General features: G+C 35.0%; 1 protein-coding gene across 24 annotated transcripts in view, besides 1 other annotated feature; it reads right to left on the reverse strand.

The window, feature by feature from the left end:
* TBC1D32 (TBC1 domain family member 32) overlaps window positions 1–19,567 on the reverse strand; it is a 255,236-nt gene that overhangs the window by 138,124 nt on the left and 97,545 nt on the right. For 21 of the 24 annotated variants that reach the window (XM_047418311.1, NM_001367759.1, XM_011535570.2 and 18 more), the window contains one exon: window positions 5,619–5,735. In XM_047418311.1, the coding sequence (XP_047274267.1) occupies window positions 5,619–5,735 (117 nt within the window). Of the gene's footprint in view, window positions 1–5,618; window positions 5,736–6,745; window positions 6,835–14,276; window positions 19,457–19,567 lie in introns of those variants that run through there. The other 3 variants (NR_104452.2, XR_942346.3, XM_011535585.3) reach the window with 3 other exon arrangements.
* Window positions 17,360–17,529: an enhancer, noted in NCBI's record as "experimental_88931 CRE fragment used in MPRA reporter constructs". NCBI's record gives its function as "activates a minimal promoter by MPRAs in K562 erythroleukemia cells, with activity observed for both the introgressed and non-introgressed 6:121556208 variant alleles {active_cell/tissue: K562}" and the evidence as "EXISTENCE:reporter gene assay evidence [ECO:0000049][PMID:34662402]".

Raw genomic sequence — 19,567 nt, forward strand, 5'->3', positions numbered from 1 at the left:
GAACAACAGACACTGGGGCCTATTAGAGGGTAGGAGGTGGAGAAGGGAGAGGAACAGAAAAGATAACTATTAGGTACAAGGCTTAGTACCTGGGTGATGAAATAATCTGTACAACAAATCTCTGTAACATGAGTTTACCTATATAACAATCCTACACATGTACCACTGAAGCTAAAATAAGAGTTTTTAAAAAAAAGAATACAAAAAGAAAACAAGATCAAGGTGTTAGGGAGGCAAATTCTATCAGGTGGTAATTTGTTGCCTATAGAAAGGGAAGAATCATAATGATTTCCAGGTTTCTGGTTCATTAAATTGTGTGGCTAATAGTACCATACACTGAGAAAAACAGGAAACAGAATTGATTTGGGAAGGAGAAAACATTACATTCAGTTGTACACAGTAAGACTAAGATGCCTGTGATTGTTCCAGATGCCCATTGTCTGGTAGGGTTCTAAATATAAAACTGGCAGTCAAGTCATATAGCTCAAAGAGTTGTCAGTGTGTAACTGAAGCCACTGAATTGGATGAGATCACTCTGGAGGCCATAGGACAAACAAAGCAAAAGAAGTCTACAAAGACAACTATGCAGGAGAGACCAGAAAAGAAGGAAGAGAACAAGAAGTAAATAATGCCACAGCCATAGAAACAAAGAATTACACTAAGGAGTGGACAAACCATGTCAAATATTCCAAAGTGGTAAATTAAGCTAAAGGAGGTGGGGATGTGACATGATTTGGTTGTGTCCCCACCCAAATCTCACCTTGAACTGTAGTTCCCATAATCCCCACATGTGACGGTTAACACTGAGTGTCAACTTGATTGGATTGAAGGATGCAAAGTTTTGATCCTGGGTGTGTCTGTGAGGGTGTTGCCAAAGGAGATTAACATTTGAGTCAGTGGGCTGGGAAAGGCAGACCCACCCTTAATCTGGGTAGGCACCCTCTAATCAGCTGTCTGTGTGCCTAGAATATAAAGCAGGCAGAAAAATGTGAAAAGACTAGACTGGCCTAGCCTCTCAGCCTACATCTTTCTCCCCTTGATATATAGATATATATATAGATACATAGAGAGATATATCCTATTAGTTCTGTCCCTCTAAAGAACGCTGACTAATACACCATATGTCATGGAAGAGACATGGTGGTAATTGAATCATGGGGGCAGTTACCCCCATGCTGTTTTCATGATAGTGAGTTATCATGAGATATGATGGTTTTATAAGGGATTTTTCCCCCTTTGCTCAGCACTTCTCTTGCCTGCTGCCATGTGATGAAGGATGTGTTTTCTTCCCCTTCCACCATGATTGTAAGTTTCCTGAGTCTCCCCAGCCATGCTGAACTGTGAGTCAACTAAACCTCTTTCCTTTTACGTTATCCAGTCTCAAGTATGTCTTTATTAGCAGCATGACAAACTAATACAGGGAGGTTCCATTACATTAGGGAATTACATATTTATTGGGTTTTGGCAGAACAATTTAAGTTAGGTAGTTGGGCAAAGATGCCAGATTATGGTGGCTTCCATGGTTGACAGAAGAGAAAGAAACATAGAGACTTAAAGCACAGACAAATTTTCCAGGAAGCTTAGGGTGGAGGGGAAGAAAGCAAACTACAGTGTGGTAAATAAAAGAAGGCATAGATCAAAAGAGTTGTTTGTTTTAAAAGGAACTCATATACATGTCTAAATCATGACAGAAAGCAGTGATCTTTCTACAGGGTTAAAATATAATGCCTTTGGGAGAAACAGAATAATATAACTGCAGTTAACTGTCTTAAGACCAAACAGAAAACAAATTTTTCCGTAAGTGGAAAGATATATTTGAATACGCCCCACAGAGATACATGAAAACTTAAGAGAACAAACATTGAAGCCATCATTTTGGACTATATCATAAAACTAATTTGTACTTGTTTCCCATAATCTAAATAAAACCAATCATATTAGAATAATTATTTTCACTGGATCCGTATAATGTGCTAGATTTATATACCTCTAAGACAGCCTACTTTCTCTAAGGTACTCCCACTGTAGTGGGAAATACAGGCACATAAATGACTAACGATAAAACTACAGGCATACCTTGTTTTATTGCATGTCACTTATTATACTTTGCAGATAATATGCTTTTTTGAATATTTAAGATGTGTAGCAACGCTACGTCAAACAAGTCTACTGGGGTCATTTTTCTAACAGCATGTGTTCACTTTGTGTCTCTGCATCACATTTTGGTAACTGTCACAATATTACAAACTTTTCATAATTATTCCGTTATGAGGACCTGTGATTGGTAATCTTTGATGTTACTATTTTAATTATTTTGGGGCACCATGAACTGTATCCAGATAAGACAACAAACTTAACAGATAAATGTTGTTCTGATTGTTCCACCAACTGGTCATCCACCTATCTTTCTCTTTCTCCTGGGGCCTCCTTATTACCTGAGACACAACAATATTAAGATTAGCGCAATTAGTAACCTTACAAAACCTCTAAGGGTTCAAATAAAAGGAAAAGTTGAGTGTCTCTCACTGTACATCAAAACCTAAAAGTGACTAAGCTTGTTGAGGAAAGCATGTCAAAAACTGAGACAGGCCAAAAGCTGGGCCTCTTGTGCCAATTAGCCAAGTTGTGCATGCAAAGAAAAAGTTCTTTAAGGAAATTAAAAGTGTTACTCCAGGAAACACATGAATAATAACAAAATGAAACAAACTTATTACTGATATGAAGAAAGTTTGAGTGATTTGAAGAGAAAAATCAAACCAACCACAGCATTCCCTTAAGCCAAACCCTAATCCAGAGAAGGCTCTAACTCTCTTTAGTTTTACGAAGGCTGAGAGAAATGAGGAAGCTACAGAAGAAAAGTTTGAAATTAACAGGTTGGTTCATGGGATTCAAGGAAAGAAGCTGTCTGAATAACATGAAAGTACAAGATGAAGTAGCAAGTGCTGATGTAGAAGTTGCAAGTTATCCAGATCTAGCTAAGATAATTGATGAAGTTAGCTACATTAAAGAGATTTTTCTTTTTCTTTTTTTTTTTTTTTTTTGAGATTGAGTCTCATTCTATCGCCTAGGCTGGAGTGTAGTGGCATGATCCTGGCTCACTGCGACCTCTACCTCCCAGGTTCGAGTGATTCTCCTGCCTCATCCTCCCATGTAGCTGGGATTACAGACATGCGCCACCACGTCCAGCTAATTTTTGTATTTTTACTAGACACGGGGTTTCACCATGTTGGCCAGGCTGCTCTCGAACTCCAGACCTCAGGTGATCTCCCCACCTCGGCCTCCCAAAGTGCTGGGATTACAGGCATGAACAACGACGCCCGGCCAAGAGATTTTCAATGCAAACAAAACAGCCTTATATTGGAAGAAGATACCGTCTAGGATTTTCATAGCTAGAAAGGAGAAGTCAGTGCCTGGATCCAAAGCATCAAAAGACAGGCGAACTCTCTTCTTAAGAGCTAATGCAGATGGTGACTTTAAGCAGAAGCCAATGCTCATTTACCATTCCAAAAATCCTGGAGCACTGGAAAATTATGCTAAATCTACTCTGCCTATGCTATATAAATGGAAAAATAAAGTAAATGACAGTACATATGTGACTGCATGGGTTTACTGCAGATTTTAAGCCTACCATTGAAAACTACTGCTCAGTAAAAAGATTCCTTTCAAAATACTACTGCTCACTGACAACACAACAGGTCACCTAAGAGCTCTGATGGAGATGTTTAAGGAGATTAATATTGTTTTTGTGCCTGCTAACATAACATCCATTCTGTAGCCCATAAATCAAGGAGTAATTTTGACTTTCAAATATTTAAGAAATATATTTTGTAAGGCTATAACTGCCATAAATAGTGATTCCTCTGACAGATCTGGGCAAAGTAAATTGAAAACCTTCTGGAAAGGATTCACCATTAAGATGCCACATCTGTGATTCACGAGAAGAGGCCAAAATATCAACATTAACAGGAGTTTGGAAGAAGCTGATTCCAACCCTAATGGATGACTTAAAGAAGTTCAGTACTTCAGTAGAACAAGTAACTACAGACATGGTGGAAATAGCAAGAAAACTAGAATTAAAAGTGGAGCCTGAAGATGTGACTGAATTGCTGCAATCTTAAGATCAAAATCAAACAGATGAGGAGTTGAGTGGTTTCTTATGGATGAGCAAAGATGGAATCCACTCCTGGTGAAGATGCTGTGAACACTGTTGAAATAACAACAAAGGACTTAAAATATTACATAAACTTAGTTGATAAAGCAGTGAGTGGGTTGAGAGGATTGACCTCAATTCTGAAAGAAGTTCTACTGTGGGTAAAATGCTATCAAAAAGTATCAAATACTTCAGAGAAATATTTCACGAAAGGTGTCAAGTGATGCAGTGAACTTCACTGTTCTCTTATTTTCAGAAATTGCCAGAGCCACCCCAGCCCACAACAACCAACACACTGATCAGTCAGCTGCCATCGACAATGAGGTAAGACTCTCCACCAGCAAAACAGAATACAACTCACTGAAGGCTCAGATGTTCATTAGCATTTTTTTGGCAACAAAGTATTTTTAATTAAGCAATAAACTTTTTTAGACGTAATTCTATTGCACATTTTAGACTAAAGTATAGTGTAAACATAACTTTTACATGGGAAAACAAAAAATTTGTGTGACTTCCTTTATTGCAATATTCATGTTATTGCGGTGGTATGGAACTGAACCCGCAATAATTCTGAGGTATACCTGTACTTAAGAAGTGCCAACATACAAGTAAGCACAAAATACAATTGAAAAACTTCAACGAAAAGAAGATAAGAGAATCTAAGTTAATGTTAAATGATAGAAGTACCTATCTTTGTATTTCACGTCATATAAGCTATTAAAAGTTTCCCAAAGTAGACAAAATTTTTAAAAATCCAAGTATTTAGGGTTAACAGGTTTAAAGGTATTCAAAAGGGCAAAACTATGTTTATGAAAAAAAAATATCACATAGGACAAAGCAACCAGAAAATGAAAAAGAATGATCAATAATAAAATTTCAATATCAAGTCTTTATTAATCCTTATATGCATATACACGTTTCTATGTGTTTAATTCATAAATGTACCCAAAGTTAAGGAACTAAATATCCCTTAATGATTAAAACAAGTTACTTATCTGTGAATATTAGTACAACATAGTTCTCAAATTAAATAAATTTGTATATACTGCCCTCATGGGGCAATAATATGTAGTTCATTCAAATATAAGCAGAAAACGCAGTGGACTCCGTGGATACAATTTATTCCTAATTATCCTAGCCAATGAAGCAGCATCACTGGTTTGACTAATAATGTAATGAGTCATCTAAAAATCACTCACATGTATACTTCTATTTATGCCAAGTATCTTTCCTGGTTGGAGTTAGCCTTGTATTCTGATAGGTCTTGGGAATGTTAGGTGACCTGGATCAAAGATTCCACGCATAGAAAATTCAAAAGTTGATATAATTCATGCATGATTAATCAAATCAGCCCTTAAATGCCATTACATAATGTTTCTTTTTTCTCTTTTTGGTCAAATTACCTTTTTACTACCAATCTCAAATAGTAGCATTTATAACAGAGAAAGATTTAAAGAAAATGACTTACAATAACACATGTTGGGACTTCACGAAGAGAATATTCTGTTTTATTAGGAAGATCTTGATTCCTTACAAGCTCATAAATAGCAGGATAGGATAACAAGTTCACCAGTGCTAAAAAAGACTAGAGGGAAAGAAAACAGTCATTTAAATGATTCACTTTTGTCAACCACATCCATGGAGAGTCATTAATGTAGTTTCCTATCTGTATGACTTTGAGGGCTCATTTTTAAATATACCTAATTCCCATACGTTTGAAATATGTACATATATAAGTACAAAACAGTTAACATGCACAGCAATAATCTATAAGCTGACAATGCATGATGTAACAACCATTACATACATACATGAAATTTGGAATATGCTTTAAAATGTCATATATCTCTTAAAAGTTTGGTTCTGACAAAAATTCAATAATCCATCTTTCTCATTCTTTGCACTTTCATATCCAATATGTAAGAAAATGCAAGGGAATAATAATTAGGGACTCTGGGGCAAGATAATAAATTCTATATATTTTTGCCCTCAGACCATGAGGCTATCTTTTAACTACATTCACTGAAAATCCAACTAACCTAAATATGATAGCTAATTTTTAAAAGCCATGCCTTTTCCTATCAAAGCTAACCCATTTTCTGGTGCAATTTTACCAATCTCTCCATGAAATATTTAAGCTCTTCACTCTCATTGCATCTTATTAAACACAACTAGAATATTTTTCTCAGGCACATTTACTCTTGGGCTCCCCAGCTCAAAAGCATGCTGTGGTTGCCCATCACTAAGCATCAAATCTAAACTCCTTAGCATGGCTTTCAAGGCACTTCTCTAATTGACACGATTCTACTCTTCACAGTCTCAAAAGCCTCATTTCCTAGTATTCCTCAGCATGAAGTCGTCACTTCAGTCAATCAAATCTGCCTGTGGTCTTCAACTGACTGCCACCTATACATACTTTTTTATCCTAGTAACACACTTCTCCTGCCCTCCACTTACTCATTATCTCACTTGATATGCTTTCAAAATATGTCACATCTGTTCTGAAGACTTTCCAATTAACTCTATGCACATCTAGAAGTCCTATGTTCTGTCAATACTTATATCTTTTGCTTGCATTATATTAATTGTACTTACTTGCAACTGTAAAGTTTACTGCTTTACATTTTCTAAAAATTTTCACTAGAGTCAGAAACTTGGAGAACCAGACATACTGAGATATTTCACTAGAACCAGAAATTTGAAAATTCAGAAAATTAAAAAGAACATTTCATTCAATCTCATTTAATAGATGAAAAAAATTGAGCTCAAGTGAAGTGGCTTGGCCAAAGACACATACTCAGAAAGTTGGTAGCAAAAATAATCTGTATTTTCTTATTTCCAGACTCAAGTTACTCATTAGAAATTATAATATAATCTTCAGACACTATTTGACACCGACACCCTTGTTCTACATCCTTCTTTGAGGACCTATGAAGTCAAGTCCATGTTATATCTCCTCCCTTAGTATGCCAAAATGCAATGTTATTTAGCACATAACAGTGGCTACATAATGAATATATTTAACACACAGTGGTTTTTAATAAAGGCTATTTCTGTCTAAAAAATGAATTCACATTAAACTTATTGAAATCATCCTTATTTTTCCCTATAATACAATATTCCCTAAAATGAAGAAGGAATTTCTAACCAATTCAAGAAGAAAATAATCCATGATTAAAAGCTAATAACTATTTGGATAGTAATGAAGTTATAAAAAATAACTGATACAATAAATTAGTTGCCATTTAATGAATGCCTCTGTAAAGAGAACACTACATGAGAAGTATGCACTATAGAAAAGGAAGAAAAAAATTGCCAAGGAAAGAATGTTTAAGAAATATGTCTATTAATTATACATAAAATGAACTGCAGAAAAACTGGAGGGTTCATAGTCACCTAGGAAACTACTGTATAAACTTCTCTAATCACCGGCTATTAACTAGAAAGATGATTAATAGAACAGATTTCATTATAGCTTTATTTTTAATCCAATTTAGTTTATCCTGAGAACACAGATGAACCAAAAAATACAAGCTAATAATGCTTTATAATTTAAATCTGCAAAGATGTTTTAATGTCCTTAATATTAATCCAGCAATATTTGGATACTATCATGAATAAATCCTTTATTTTATGTTTAAAGAATCTTTTCTACCATAATCATAAAAGATTACAAAAAAGCCTTTTAAAATGTCTATTTTGGTAGAAAAATAAATATAACCTTTATAAATCACATATATCAATAGTATATTGAGCATTTTTGTATTATTTATACATGAAGAATTCAATTGATGATTATGGAACCTCTCTTCATGTAAGAAATAAAATGATGTGGACCACATACAATCAAGGTAAGGTGTGATATGCTACTCTAAGCAAATCAAGTAAAACTTTAGGTAAAAATAATTCAACAACTGTATTCAAACTAAAACAACCTGAACAGAATTTTAAAGAAGTTTGAGAAGATTTCAGCAGCTTGTTTCTAGAAGAAATACATTCATTTCTCACACATCGGGCATTTTAAAAGATGTTAGCTTAGTGCAAAATTGTGATGTATTATGCATTTCTGGAATAAAAATATATACAATGTAATTATTGGTTCCCACAAACACACATTATAAGATGTTGCTAATATCAGATATTAACTATCTTAAAATTTAAAGTAGCACAAAACATAAATCTATGTCATCAATGTTTTGAATAGAAGAATGAGATTTTATGCAATAATGATAAGGAAACTAATGAAAAGTCAACGTTTGATATATTTTTAAGACTAAAGCATAAAATTAATTCCCCAAGTCAAGAAGTTTTCTTATAAATTAAAATCTTTCAGGTTGATAATGATCTTCTATTCACTTATTCACTAAAAATATTGTAGTGCCAGCTGCTTATCAGTAATTGTGCCAAATGCTAACGATAAAAATAGGAATAAAGGCATGGTCCCTGCCCTCAAGGACTCATAGTATAGTGCAGGACAAAATACACTATTAAATCACTTACAATAGCGCCTAAATGTTCTGACTTTACTGCAATATGGAGAGCAATGGGGGGATATAAGGATGACACTCTTCAGCAATGTAGGGAGAGGTGAAAGGTAAGTCTGTATAAGTAGCAGGCAGGCAGTCAGGCAGAGATGTGCTACATTAATGAGCAGTATCTTTATCCTCTAGGGAAAGAAAAGGGCAAAGTGTTTTCAGAAAAGTAGTGGGAATTAAATTTTACATTTTAAATAGAATGCTCTAAAGAAAAATGGTTTTGGAGGGCAGACAATATAAAGGAGTAAAGAACAAATTAGAATTTGGAAGCTGTAAGACTGTCAGAGATACATTACACCTATTAGAACACAGATGTATTAAAAACATGTCCAATAGACAGAATAATCAAATAGTTACTCATAAGGTTAGTGTTCGGGGAATACATGTCTTAGGAGTAAAGGAAAGGTCTGTGAAGACTATGTGTATAAAGTATTCTATTCTTTAAAGTAGTATGGTCACGAAGGGGAGAAGGAAGACTGAATAGTGATAATAATTTAACTGCTGTCATTATATGAGCACTTACTTTTGGCCAAATGCTATAGTATCAATATTTATACACATTATCTATTTTAATCCTTAATATGTACAACTGTAAGACCATTGTAAGGAACACCAGGCTTCTGAAGCCAAGTCTCACTGACTCTAAAGTAGGGGTGTCCAATATTTTGGCTTCCCTGGGCCACATTGGAAGAAGAAGAATTGTCTTGGGCCACACATAAAATACAGTAACAATAGCTAATGAGCTAAGAAAATAAAAATAAAAACTGCAAAAAAAATCTCATAATGTTTTAAGAAAGGCTATGAATTTGTGCTGCGCCACATTCAAAGCTGTCCTGGGCTGAATGCAGCCCATGGGCCGCAGGTTCAACAAGCTTGTTCTAAAGTCTCTGCTATGATGTAAACCACTAGAAGACACTAAGAATGCATTTAGATTCAGGGAGAGGATCTTTTGTTTGTGCTGGTGGAGTGAGAGGGATGTTACTTGTTTTTGGATGAGAGAATCAAGCCATCTTCAAATAGTTTTACATCTTTTTTTCCAATCTGTATGCCTTCTATTTTTTCTTGCCTTATTATACTTACATAATATAATGTAAATAAAAGTGGTAAGAGTCAACCAAATTTAGAGTCAATATTTTACCATTAAATATGATACAAACTGTATGTTTTCCAAACACAGCATTTATCAGATTATGGATTAAATCATTTGAATTTTTATCATAAATGTATATGAAATTTAGTAAAATGTTTCTACATATGTTGAAATAATATTAAGAGTTTTCTTTTTATTCTTTAATATGGTTAAGTCGTATTTTCATACTGAAACATTTAACCAACTTTATGTTCCTGGAATAAATCCCACTTGATCATAATAAATGGTCCTTTTATATACTGCTGAATTCCAATCGATAATATAGTATTTTAAAAAAACATTCTGTCCATATTCATCAGGCTATAGAGCTATAATTTTCTTCTTTTTTGGTGATGTTTTTATATCAGTGTTATGCTGGCCTCATAAATTAGAAATGGTTTCCTCTACCTGTTTTCTGAAAAAGCTTGTGTGAGATCAGTGCTCTTTCTCCTACAAATGTTTCATAGAATCCACTGGTGAAACCATCTGTTTTTCTCTGTGTAAGGAGGTTCTTACTGACAAATTCAATTTCTTTAACAAATGCATACCTATTTTTTTAATTGAGTCAGTTTTGGTAACCCTACTTTTAAAGAAAATTTGCCAATTAGATCTTAGTTGTTGAGTTAATGACCTAAAACAAATCATAATATTCACTTATTATCCTTTAATATCTGTGGAATCATTAGTCTTACCCCTGTTTCATTCTTGATATTGGTAATTTTGGATCTCTCTTATTTTTGTCATCAATCTAGTGAGGGGTTTATCACCTTTAATAATCATTTCCAAAAATCACATTTGGATTTGTTATTTCTCTTTAGTTTGTTCTGTTTCATTGATTTCTGCTCTAATGTTTATTATTTCCCTTGTTGTATTGGTTTTGGCTGTAATTTGCTCTTCTTTTTCTACTCCCTTTGGGTAGAAACTTGAGTCAGTAATTTTAGATCCTTCTTATTTTCTAATACAAATATTAAAGTTAAAAATATCTCTCTTAGCACTGCTTCAACTATAACCACAAATTCTGATGTATTTTTATTTGCATCCAGTTTGAAATATTTCCTAATTTCCCTTGTGACTTCTTTGAGCTACAAGTTATTTGTAAGTATGTGGCTTAATTTCCAAGTATCTTTTTTTCTAGTTTCTAGTTCTTGATTTTTAATTAATTTCATTGTGGTTATAGAATGTACTTCATATTATTCCAATTATCTTAAATTTATTTAGACTTGCATTTAGCCCAACATGGTCTATCTTTGAGGACATGCCATGTGTTCTTGAAAAGAATGCGTATTCTGTAGTCACCGAGTATAATATTCTATAAATATCAAATGGTTAATAGTGGTATTCATATCATGTAATTCCTAACAGAGAGCTCTTGATCTGTTCTATCAGTTGCTAACAGAAATGTTAAAATCTTCAACTCTGATTGCAGATTTGCCTATTTCTTCCTTAAATTCTATTTTAATACTACATATATTTTAGATATTTTATTAGGATCATACTGATTTATGATTATGTCTTTCTGGCGTATTGACCATATTCATATTATCATTATAAAATGTGTCTCTTAATCTGATAGTTTTTCCTTTACTTTATCTCTGACACTAAATGTGGCTGTGTCAGTTTTCTAATGTTTATTGCTTCTTTGTACATATTTTTTCCATCCAACTTATCTTTATCTTTAAAGTGAACTTCTTCTAGAACTCTGCCACCTGCCCCAGAGAGCCTTCTCTGTGCCTACAATTACCTCGCCTGCCCTCCCTCCATAACACCCAGTATCCTGACCTTTACAATAATCATTTTCAAAGGTTTTCTTGTGGTTTTATTTCTCAGGTGTACATATCTAGACACTATAATTTTGTCTTTCCCATTTTCAAGACTTGATATGTCATTTAAAGTTTCTTTTAATCTACAGGCATTCATCTTCTCCCTCTCCCTTCTTTTCATTTCATCTGTTGACAAGCTCAGGCCATTTGACCTGTAAAGTTTCCACCAGTCTGGATTTCAGGAAGTGCACAGTCAGGGAGCAGTTCAGCCTGTTCTTCCATCCTTTGGATATATGCAGTTTCCATATTCTGCAAACTGGCAGCTGAATCTAAAGGCTTGATCAAATTAGATACCTTGGTAAGACTAGAGGTGGTGGTTTATTCTTTCATTAGAGGGCACATTAATAATGTTTAGCCATTTCTGTTTTAATGATGTTAAGGTGACTCAATTAATTCTCGCAGACTGCAAATGATGACGTTCTACTTCCATCATTTTAAAAAAATTATTAGTTGGGATAATTCATGAAAAAGAGGCACTATCTTCACCTACTATTTGGTTACCCAGTGGTAGAGTTCTGATATGGTTTAGCTCTTTGTCCCTACCCAAATCTCATCTCAAATTGTAATCCCTACATGCCAAAGGAAGGACCTGGTGGGAGCTGATTGGATCATGGGTGCAGTTCCCCCATGCTGTTCCCATGATAGTGAGTTCTCCTGAGATCTCATGGTTTAAATGTGTTTGGCAGTTCCCCTTCACTCTCTCTCTCTCCAGCAGCCATGTAAGATGTGTGCCTTGCTTCCCCTCCGCCTTCCTTCCTGAATGTAAGTTTCCTGAGGCCTCCCCAGACATGTGGAACTATGAGTCAATTAAACCTCTTTTCTTTATAAATTACCCAGTCTCGGGTAGTTCTTCATAGTAGTGAAAATGGACCAAAACAAGTTCATACAGGAAAGGCACAATAAATGCTGTTATTTTATTAAACAAGTTTCAAGATAATCAATTGATTCTCGATCATCCTCTGAGCATAACCAATTTTTAAAAATACTATTTAATAGTTTTGCTTTCATATCCACACTATGCATCATGACTAATTAAACATACGGATGCTGATAATACTTTCTACCATTTATTGAGTGCCTACTATATGCCAAGCATTCTGCCATATACTTTTATAAATTATCACAGTTTGACATGCTAAAGGTTATTGGTAAATATATTATCATCTTTAACACTGGTTAACTACATTTGCCTACCACCTAAAATGTAATTTCATTTTGTTTCTAATTATAGTTCAGTACAGACAGTTATCAACAACCTGCAACTTAGGTGATGTTAAGCCACCTGTAATTAAAGTGAATCAGAACATATTTATTTTACTGTGTCCACAGAAAAAATAAAGTTAATTTCTTTTTTACTGGTAAATGTTATTGAAATCTGATATGTATATATCTGATATATATATATACATATATACACACACGTGTATATATACACATGTGTGTATATATATTTGCCACTTGTGCAGTGTTTTTAGTTATTTAATTTATTTTTATTTCAATAGGTTTTTGGGGAACAGATTGTATGGTGTTTCTAGTCATTTATTTTTATTTCAATAGGTTTTTGGGGAACCGATAGTGTATGGTTACATGAACAAGTTCTCTTAGTAGTGATTGCTGAGACTCTGGTGCACCCATCACCTGAGTAGTGTACCCTGTACCCAGTGTGTAGTCTCTTATCCATCACCATCCCCAACCCTTTTCCCTGAGTCCCCAAAGACTGATGTATCATTCTTATGCCTTGGTGTCCTCATAGCTTAGCTCACACATATGAGTGAGAACATACAATGTTTGGTTTTCAATTCCTAAATATTTCACTTAGAATAATAGTCTCCAATTCCATCCAGGTTCCTGGATGTTGCTGGAGTTGATTTTTGCATAAGGTGAAAGAGGAAGATCCAGTTTCATTCTTCTACATGTGGCTTGCTAATTATCCCAGCACCATTTTTTGAATAGGGTGTGCTTCCCCCACCTTATGTTTTTGTTTGCTTTGTCAAAGATCAGCTGGCTGATCTTTTTATGGCTGAGTAGTATTCCATGGTATACATATACCGTATTTTCTTTACTCATTGATTGATGTGCATGTGGGCAGTTCCATATTTTTGCAATTGCAAATTGTGCTGCTATGAACATGCATTTGCAAGTATCTTTTTTGTATAATGACTTCTTTTCCTCTGGGTAGATACCTAGTAGTGGGATTGCAGAATCAAATAGTAGATCTACTTTTAGTTCTTTAAGGAATCTCCACGCTGTTTCCCATAGTGGTTATACTAGTTTACATTCCCACTGACAGTGTAAAAGTGTTCCCTTTTCACTGCATCCACGCCAACATCTATTTTTTTTTCATTTTTTGATTATGGCCATTCTTCCAGGAATAAGGTGGTATCACATTGTGGTTTTGATATGGATTTCCCTATTAGTGATATTGCACATTTTTCCATGTGCTTGTTGGCCATTTGTGTATCTTCTTTTGAGAATTGTCTATTCACGTCCTCAGCCCACTTTTTGATATGGTTGCTTGTGTTTTTCTTGCTGATTTGTTTGAGTTCTTTGTAGATTCTGGAAATTAGTCTTTTGTCAGATGTATAGATTGTGAAGATTTTCTCCCACTCTGTGGGTTGTCTGTTTACTCTGCTGATTATTTCTTTTGCTGGGCAGAAGCTTTTTAATTTAATTAAGTCCCATCTATTTATCTTTGTTTTTCTTGCATTTGCTTTTGAATTCCTAGTCATAAAGTCTTTACCTAAGCTAATGTCTAGAAGGATTTGGTTTTTCTGATGTTATCTTCTGGAATCTTTATGGTTTCAGATCTTAGATTTAAGTGTTTGATTGATCTAGAGTTGATTTTTCTATATAAGGTGAGAGATGAGGATCCAGTTTCATTCTTCTACATGTGGCTTGCTAATTACCCCAGCACTATTTTTTGAATAGGGTATACTTACCACTTTATGTTTTTGTTTACTTTGTCGAAGATCAGTTGGCTGTATTTGGCTTTATTTCTGAGTTCTCTATTTCTGTTACATTTGGTCTGTGTGCCTATTTTTATACCAGTACCACGTCATTCTGTTAACTGTAGCCTTGTAAAATAATGTGAAGTTGGGTAATGTGATGCCTCCAGATTTGTTCTTTTTGCTTAGTCTTGCTTTGGCTATGCGGGCTCTTTGTTGGCTCCATATACATTTTAGGATTGTTTGTTCTAGTTGTGTGAAGTATTATGGTGGTATTTTGATAGGAATTGCATTGAATCTGTAAATTGCTTTGGGAAGTATAGCCATTTTCACAATATTGATTCTACCCATTCATGAACATGAAATGTCTTTCCATTTGTTTGTGTTGTCTGATTTCTTTCAGCAGTGTTTTGTAGTTTTCCCTGTAGAGGTCTTTCATGTCTTTGGTTAGGTATGTTCCTAAGTATTTTATTTATTTATTTATTTTTGCAACTATTGTAAACCAGGTTGAATTTTTTATTTGATTCTCAGCTTGGTGTTCATTATTTCTTTTTTCCTGCTGGGTTTGGTTTTGGATTATTCTTGTTTCTCTAGTTCCATGAGTTGTGACATTTGATTGTATATTTGTGCTCTTTCAGGCATTTTGATGTAGGCATTTAATGCTATAAACTTTCCTCTTAGCCCCGCTTTTGCTGTATCTAGAGGTTTTGTCACTATTATCATTTGTTCAAAAATGTTTTTAATTTCCATCTTGATATCATTGTTGGTCCAATGATCACTTAGGAGCAGGTTATTTAATTTCCATGTATTTGCATGGTTTTGAGGGTTCCTTTTGAAGTTAATATCCAATTTTATTCCACTGTGGTCTGAGAGAGTACCTGATATAATTTTGATTTTCTTAAATTTACTGAGACTTGTTTTTGTGGCCTCTCATATGGTCTATCTTGGAGGATGTTCTATGTGTTGATGAAAGAATGTATATTCTGTAGTTGTTCGGTAAAATGTTCTGTAAATATCTGTTAAGTCCATTTGTTCTACGGTATAGTTTAACTTCACTGCTTCTTTGTTGACTTTCTATCCTGATGACCTGTCTAGTGTTGTCAATGGAGTATTAAAGTTCCACACTATTATTGTGTTGCCATCTATCTCATTTCTTAGGTCTACTAGTAATTGCTTTATAAATTAGGGAGCTCCAGTGCTAAGTGCTTATATATTTAGGATTTTGATATTTTCCTGTGGGACTAGTCTTTTTATCATTATATAATATCCTTCTTTGTCTTTTTAACTGCTGTTGCTTTAAAGTTTGCTTTGTCTGATATAAGAATAGCTACTCCTGCTCACTTTTAGTGTCCACTGCACGGAATATCTTTTTCCACCCCTTTATCTTAAGTTTATGTGAGTCCTTATGGGTTAGGTGAGTCTCCTGAAGATAGCAGTACCTTGGTTAGTAAATTCTTATCCGTTCTGCCATTCTGTATCTTTTAAGTGGAGCATTTAGGCCATTTACATTCAACGATAGTATTGAGACGTGAGGTACTGTTCTATTCATCAAGCTATTTGTTCCCTGAATACCTTGGTTTTTTTGTCATTGTGTTTTTGTTAGATAGGTGCTGTGAGATTTATTCTTTAAGGATGTTCTATTTTGGTGTATTTCGAGAATTTGTTTCAAGATTTAGAGCTCCTTTTAGCAGTTCTTATAGTGCTGGCTTGGTAGTGGTGAATTCTCTCAGCAGTTGTTTGTCTGAAAAAGACTGTATCTTTCTTTCATTGATGAAGCCTAGTTTTACTGGATAAAAAATTCTGGCTGATACTGTTTTGTTTAATGAGGCTAAAAATAGGACCCCAATCCCTTCTAGCTTGTAGGGTTTCTGGTGAGAAATCTGTTGTTAATCTGATAGGTTTTCCTTTATAAGTTACCTAATGCTTTTGCTTCACAGCTCTTAAGATTTTTTTCCTTCATCTTGATTTTAGATAACCTGATGACCATATGCCTAGGCAATGATCTTTTTGCGATGAATTTCCCAGGTGTTCTTTCAGTTTCTTGTATTTGGATGTCTAGATCCTTAGCAAGGCTGGGGTTAGTTTTCCTTTATTATTACCTCAAATATGTTTTCCAAACTTTCAAATTTCTCTTCTTCCTAGGGAACACCAATTATTCTTAGGCTCAGACATTTAGCATAGTCCCAAGCCTCTTGGAGGCTTTGTTCATTTTTAAAAATTTTTTTCTTTATCTTTGATGGGTTGAGTTAATGTGAAAGCCTTGTCTTTGAGCTCTGAAGTTCTTTCTTCTGCTTGTTCGATTCTATTACTGAGACTTTCCAGTGCATTTTGCATTTCTCTAAGTGTATCCTTGATTTCCAGAAGTTGTGATTGTTCTTAATTTGTGCTCTCTATTTCACTGAAGAATTTTCCTTTCATATCCTGTATCATGTTTTTTATTTCTTTAAGTTGGACTTCATCTTTCTCTGATGACTCCTTGATTAGCTGAGTAATCAACCTTCTGAATTCTTTTTCTGGCAATTCAGAGATTTTGTCTTGGTTTGGATCTATTGCTGATGAGCTGGTATGATCATTTGGGAGTGTTAAAGAAACTTATTTTGTCATATTACCAGAATCATTTTCTGGTTCCTTCTCATTTGAGTAGACTACGTCAGAGGGAAGATGTGGGATTCAAGGGCTGCTGTTCAGATTCTGTTATCCCAACACTACTTGATGTAGTGTTCTCCTCTTCCCCTAGGAATGGGGCTTCCTGAGAGCTGAACTATAGTAATTGTTTTTGCTCTTCTGGGTCTAGCCATCCAGCAGAGCTACCGGGCTCTGGGCTGGTAGTAGGGAGTGCCTGCAAAGGGTCTTGTGATGTGATCCGTCTTCAGGTCTTGCAGCTATGGATATCAGTACCTGCTCTGGTGGAGGTGGCAGGGGAGTCACTCTGTGAGGCTCCTTGGTTGTGTTTTTGTTTAGTGTGCTGGTTTTGTGTTGCTTGGCCTCCAGCCAGGAGGTGGCACTTTCAAGAGGGCATCAGCTGTGATCCTGTAGGGAGGATGCAACCTTGCCCTAGGGACACCTGGTTAAGCATTCAGGATTCTCAGGCAGTGGGCAGGGCCATAGAGTTCCAAAGAGATTATGACCTTTGTCTTCAGCTACCAGGGAGGGTAAAAAAAGACCACCAGGAGGGGGCAGGGAGAGGCGTGTCTGAGCTCAGCCTCTCCTTGGGCGAAGTTTGCTGTGGCTGCTGTGGGGGATGGGTGAGTGGTTCCCAGTCCAATGGAGTTATATTTCCAGGGGGATTATGGCTGCCTCTCCTGAGTCATACAAATCACCAGGCAAGTGAGGAAAGCTGGCAGTCACCAGCCTCACCATGCTCTCATGCAGCTGACAGTCCTAAATGCCGGTCTCACTCCTATCTTGCCCCTCAACAGCACCAAGTCTATTTCCAGGCAGCTGGTGATCAGGGCGGAGAACTTGACCCAGACCACAAGCCTCTTTGTTGAGAAAGCAAGCAGACTCAGTTTTTCCACATCTCAGTGAGCCTGCAGCAGTGATCCAGTTCCTTCAAAGGTTCTGTGGATTCTGTCATCTTTCCTAGTATGTTCCTGTGGTAGTTCTTGAAGCAACAGTTCACGATGTAAGTCTCCACACAATGTTCTGTCTGTCTGAGCAGGAGCTGCAAGCTAGTCCTACCTCCTATCCACCATCTTAATCCTAAAGTTAATTTCTTAAAGATGGCACATAGTTGTATCTTCCTTTTTTATACATGCTGAAAATCTGTATTTTAATTAGAATATTTAGTTCATTTGCATTTAGTGTAATTATTGATATGGATGCATTTAGAGCTACTATTTTCCTACTTGTTTTCTTTTTTTCCATCCATTTCCTGTTCTTTTATTCTTTCCTCCCCACCTTATTCTGTGTTTGGTTTGTGTTTTTATTTTTGTTTTTTTTTTTTAATTGTAAAATTTATGTATGAGCTATACCTCTTTGCACTAATTTTTAGTGCTTTCCTAAGGAAGTACTGTCCAATAGAACTTTCTGTAATGATAGAAATATTATATAACCTGAATTTTACAATATGGTAACCACTAGCTACATGTGCTATTGAGCACTTATGACTAATATAATTAAGGAACTGAATTTTTAATTTTAATTAATACAAGTTTGTATAGCTGCATAGGGCAATTGTCTACCATGTTTAACAGAAGCCACAGAGGGAAGATGAAGGATGGGGACTAGAATGGACATATGTTTCTGAAGGTATCTAGTTATATATCGAAACTACATAACTGTTTTCCACAATTTAAAAGACCAAATTAGATTATAAATGAAAAAAGAATCCCTTAGGGAATAAGACTTAGAGACTAGAAGCTGGACTCTAGGGCTGTTTACTACAATGAGTTGTCATTTCTAGGTCTTTCTGTATATAGATTAGCAGAATACAAAATATTTTTTAAAAAATCCTTAGTTTATACTGACATTTCTATTGCAAAGTCAAACAAATTGAATAAAATCCCTGTAACCTTCTATTTGAATTATAAATATTTCCAAGGGATTAGGAATATTGTGCCATTTTATATAAAATGTGAGGAAGTTGAACCATATAGATTGATTTACCATTATACAATTCCCCTGTCCTTTATGCTACAGCTATCCTATGTACGATTTTATTTCTAAGTACAAAATAAACCCCACTATGTATCATAATTTTGTTTTAAAAAACCAATCATATGTATTTAAAATAAGTTAAAAGGAAAAATAATAGGCTTCTATACTCACTTACCTATTTGCAATTCCCTGTTTCCATCCTGAAAATCCAGCTATCCATCTGGTAGCACTGTCTTTCAACATGAAGAATTTTCTTCATCATTATTTGAAAGGCAGGTCTGCTGACAAATATTTTCTTAGCCTTTGTTTATTTTAAAATTTCTTTCACTTTCATTATTGGAGTATATTTTAACTATATGTAGAATTCTAAATTGACTGCTTCTGTTTCC

The sequence above is a fragment of the Homo sapiens genome, chromosome 6 (assembly GCF_000001405.40).
Source record: "Homo sapiens chromosome 6, GRCh38.p14 Primary Assembly".
In the NCBI taxonomy this organism is placed as follows: domain Eukaryota; kingdom Metazoa; phylum Chordata; class Mammalia; order Primates; family Hominidae; genus Homo; species Homo sapiens.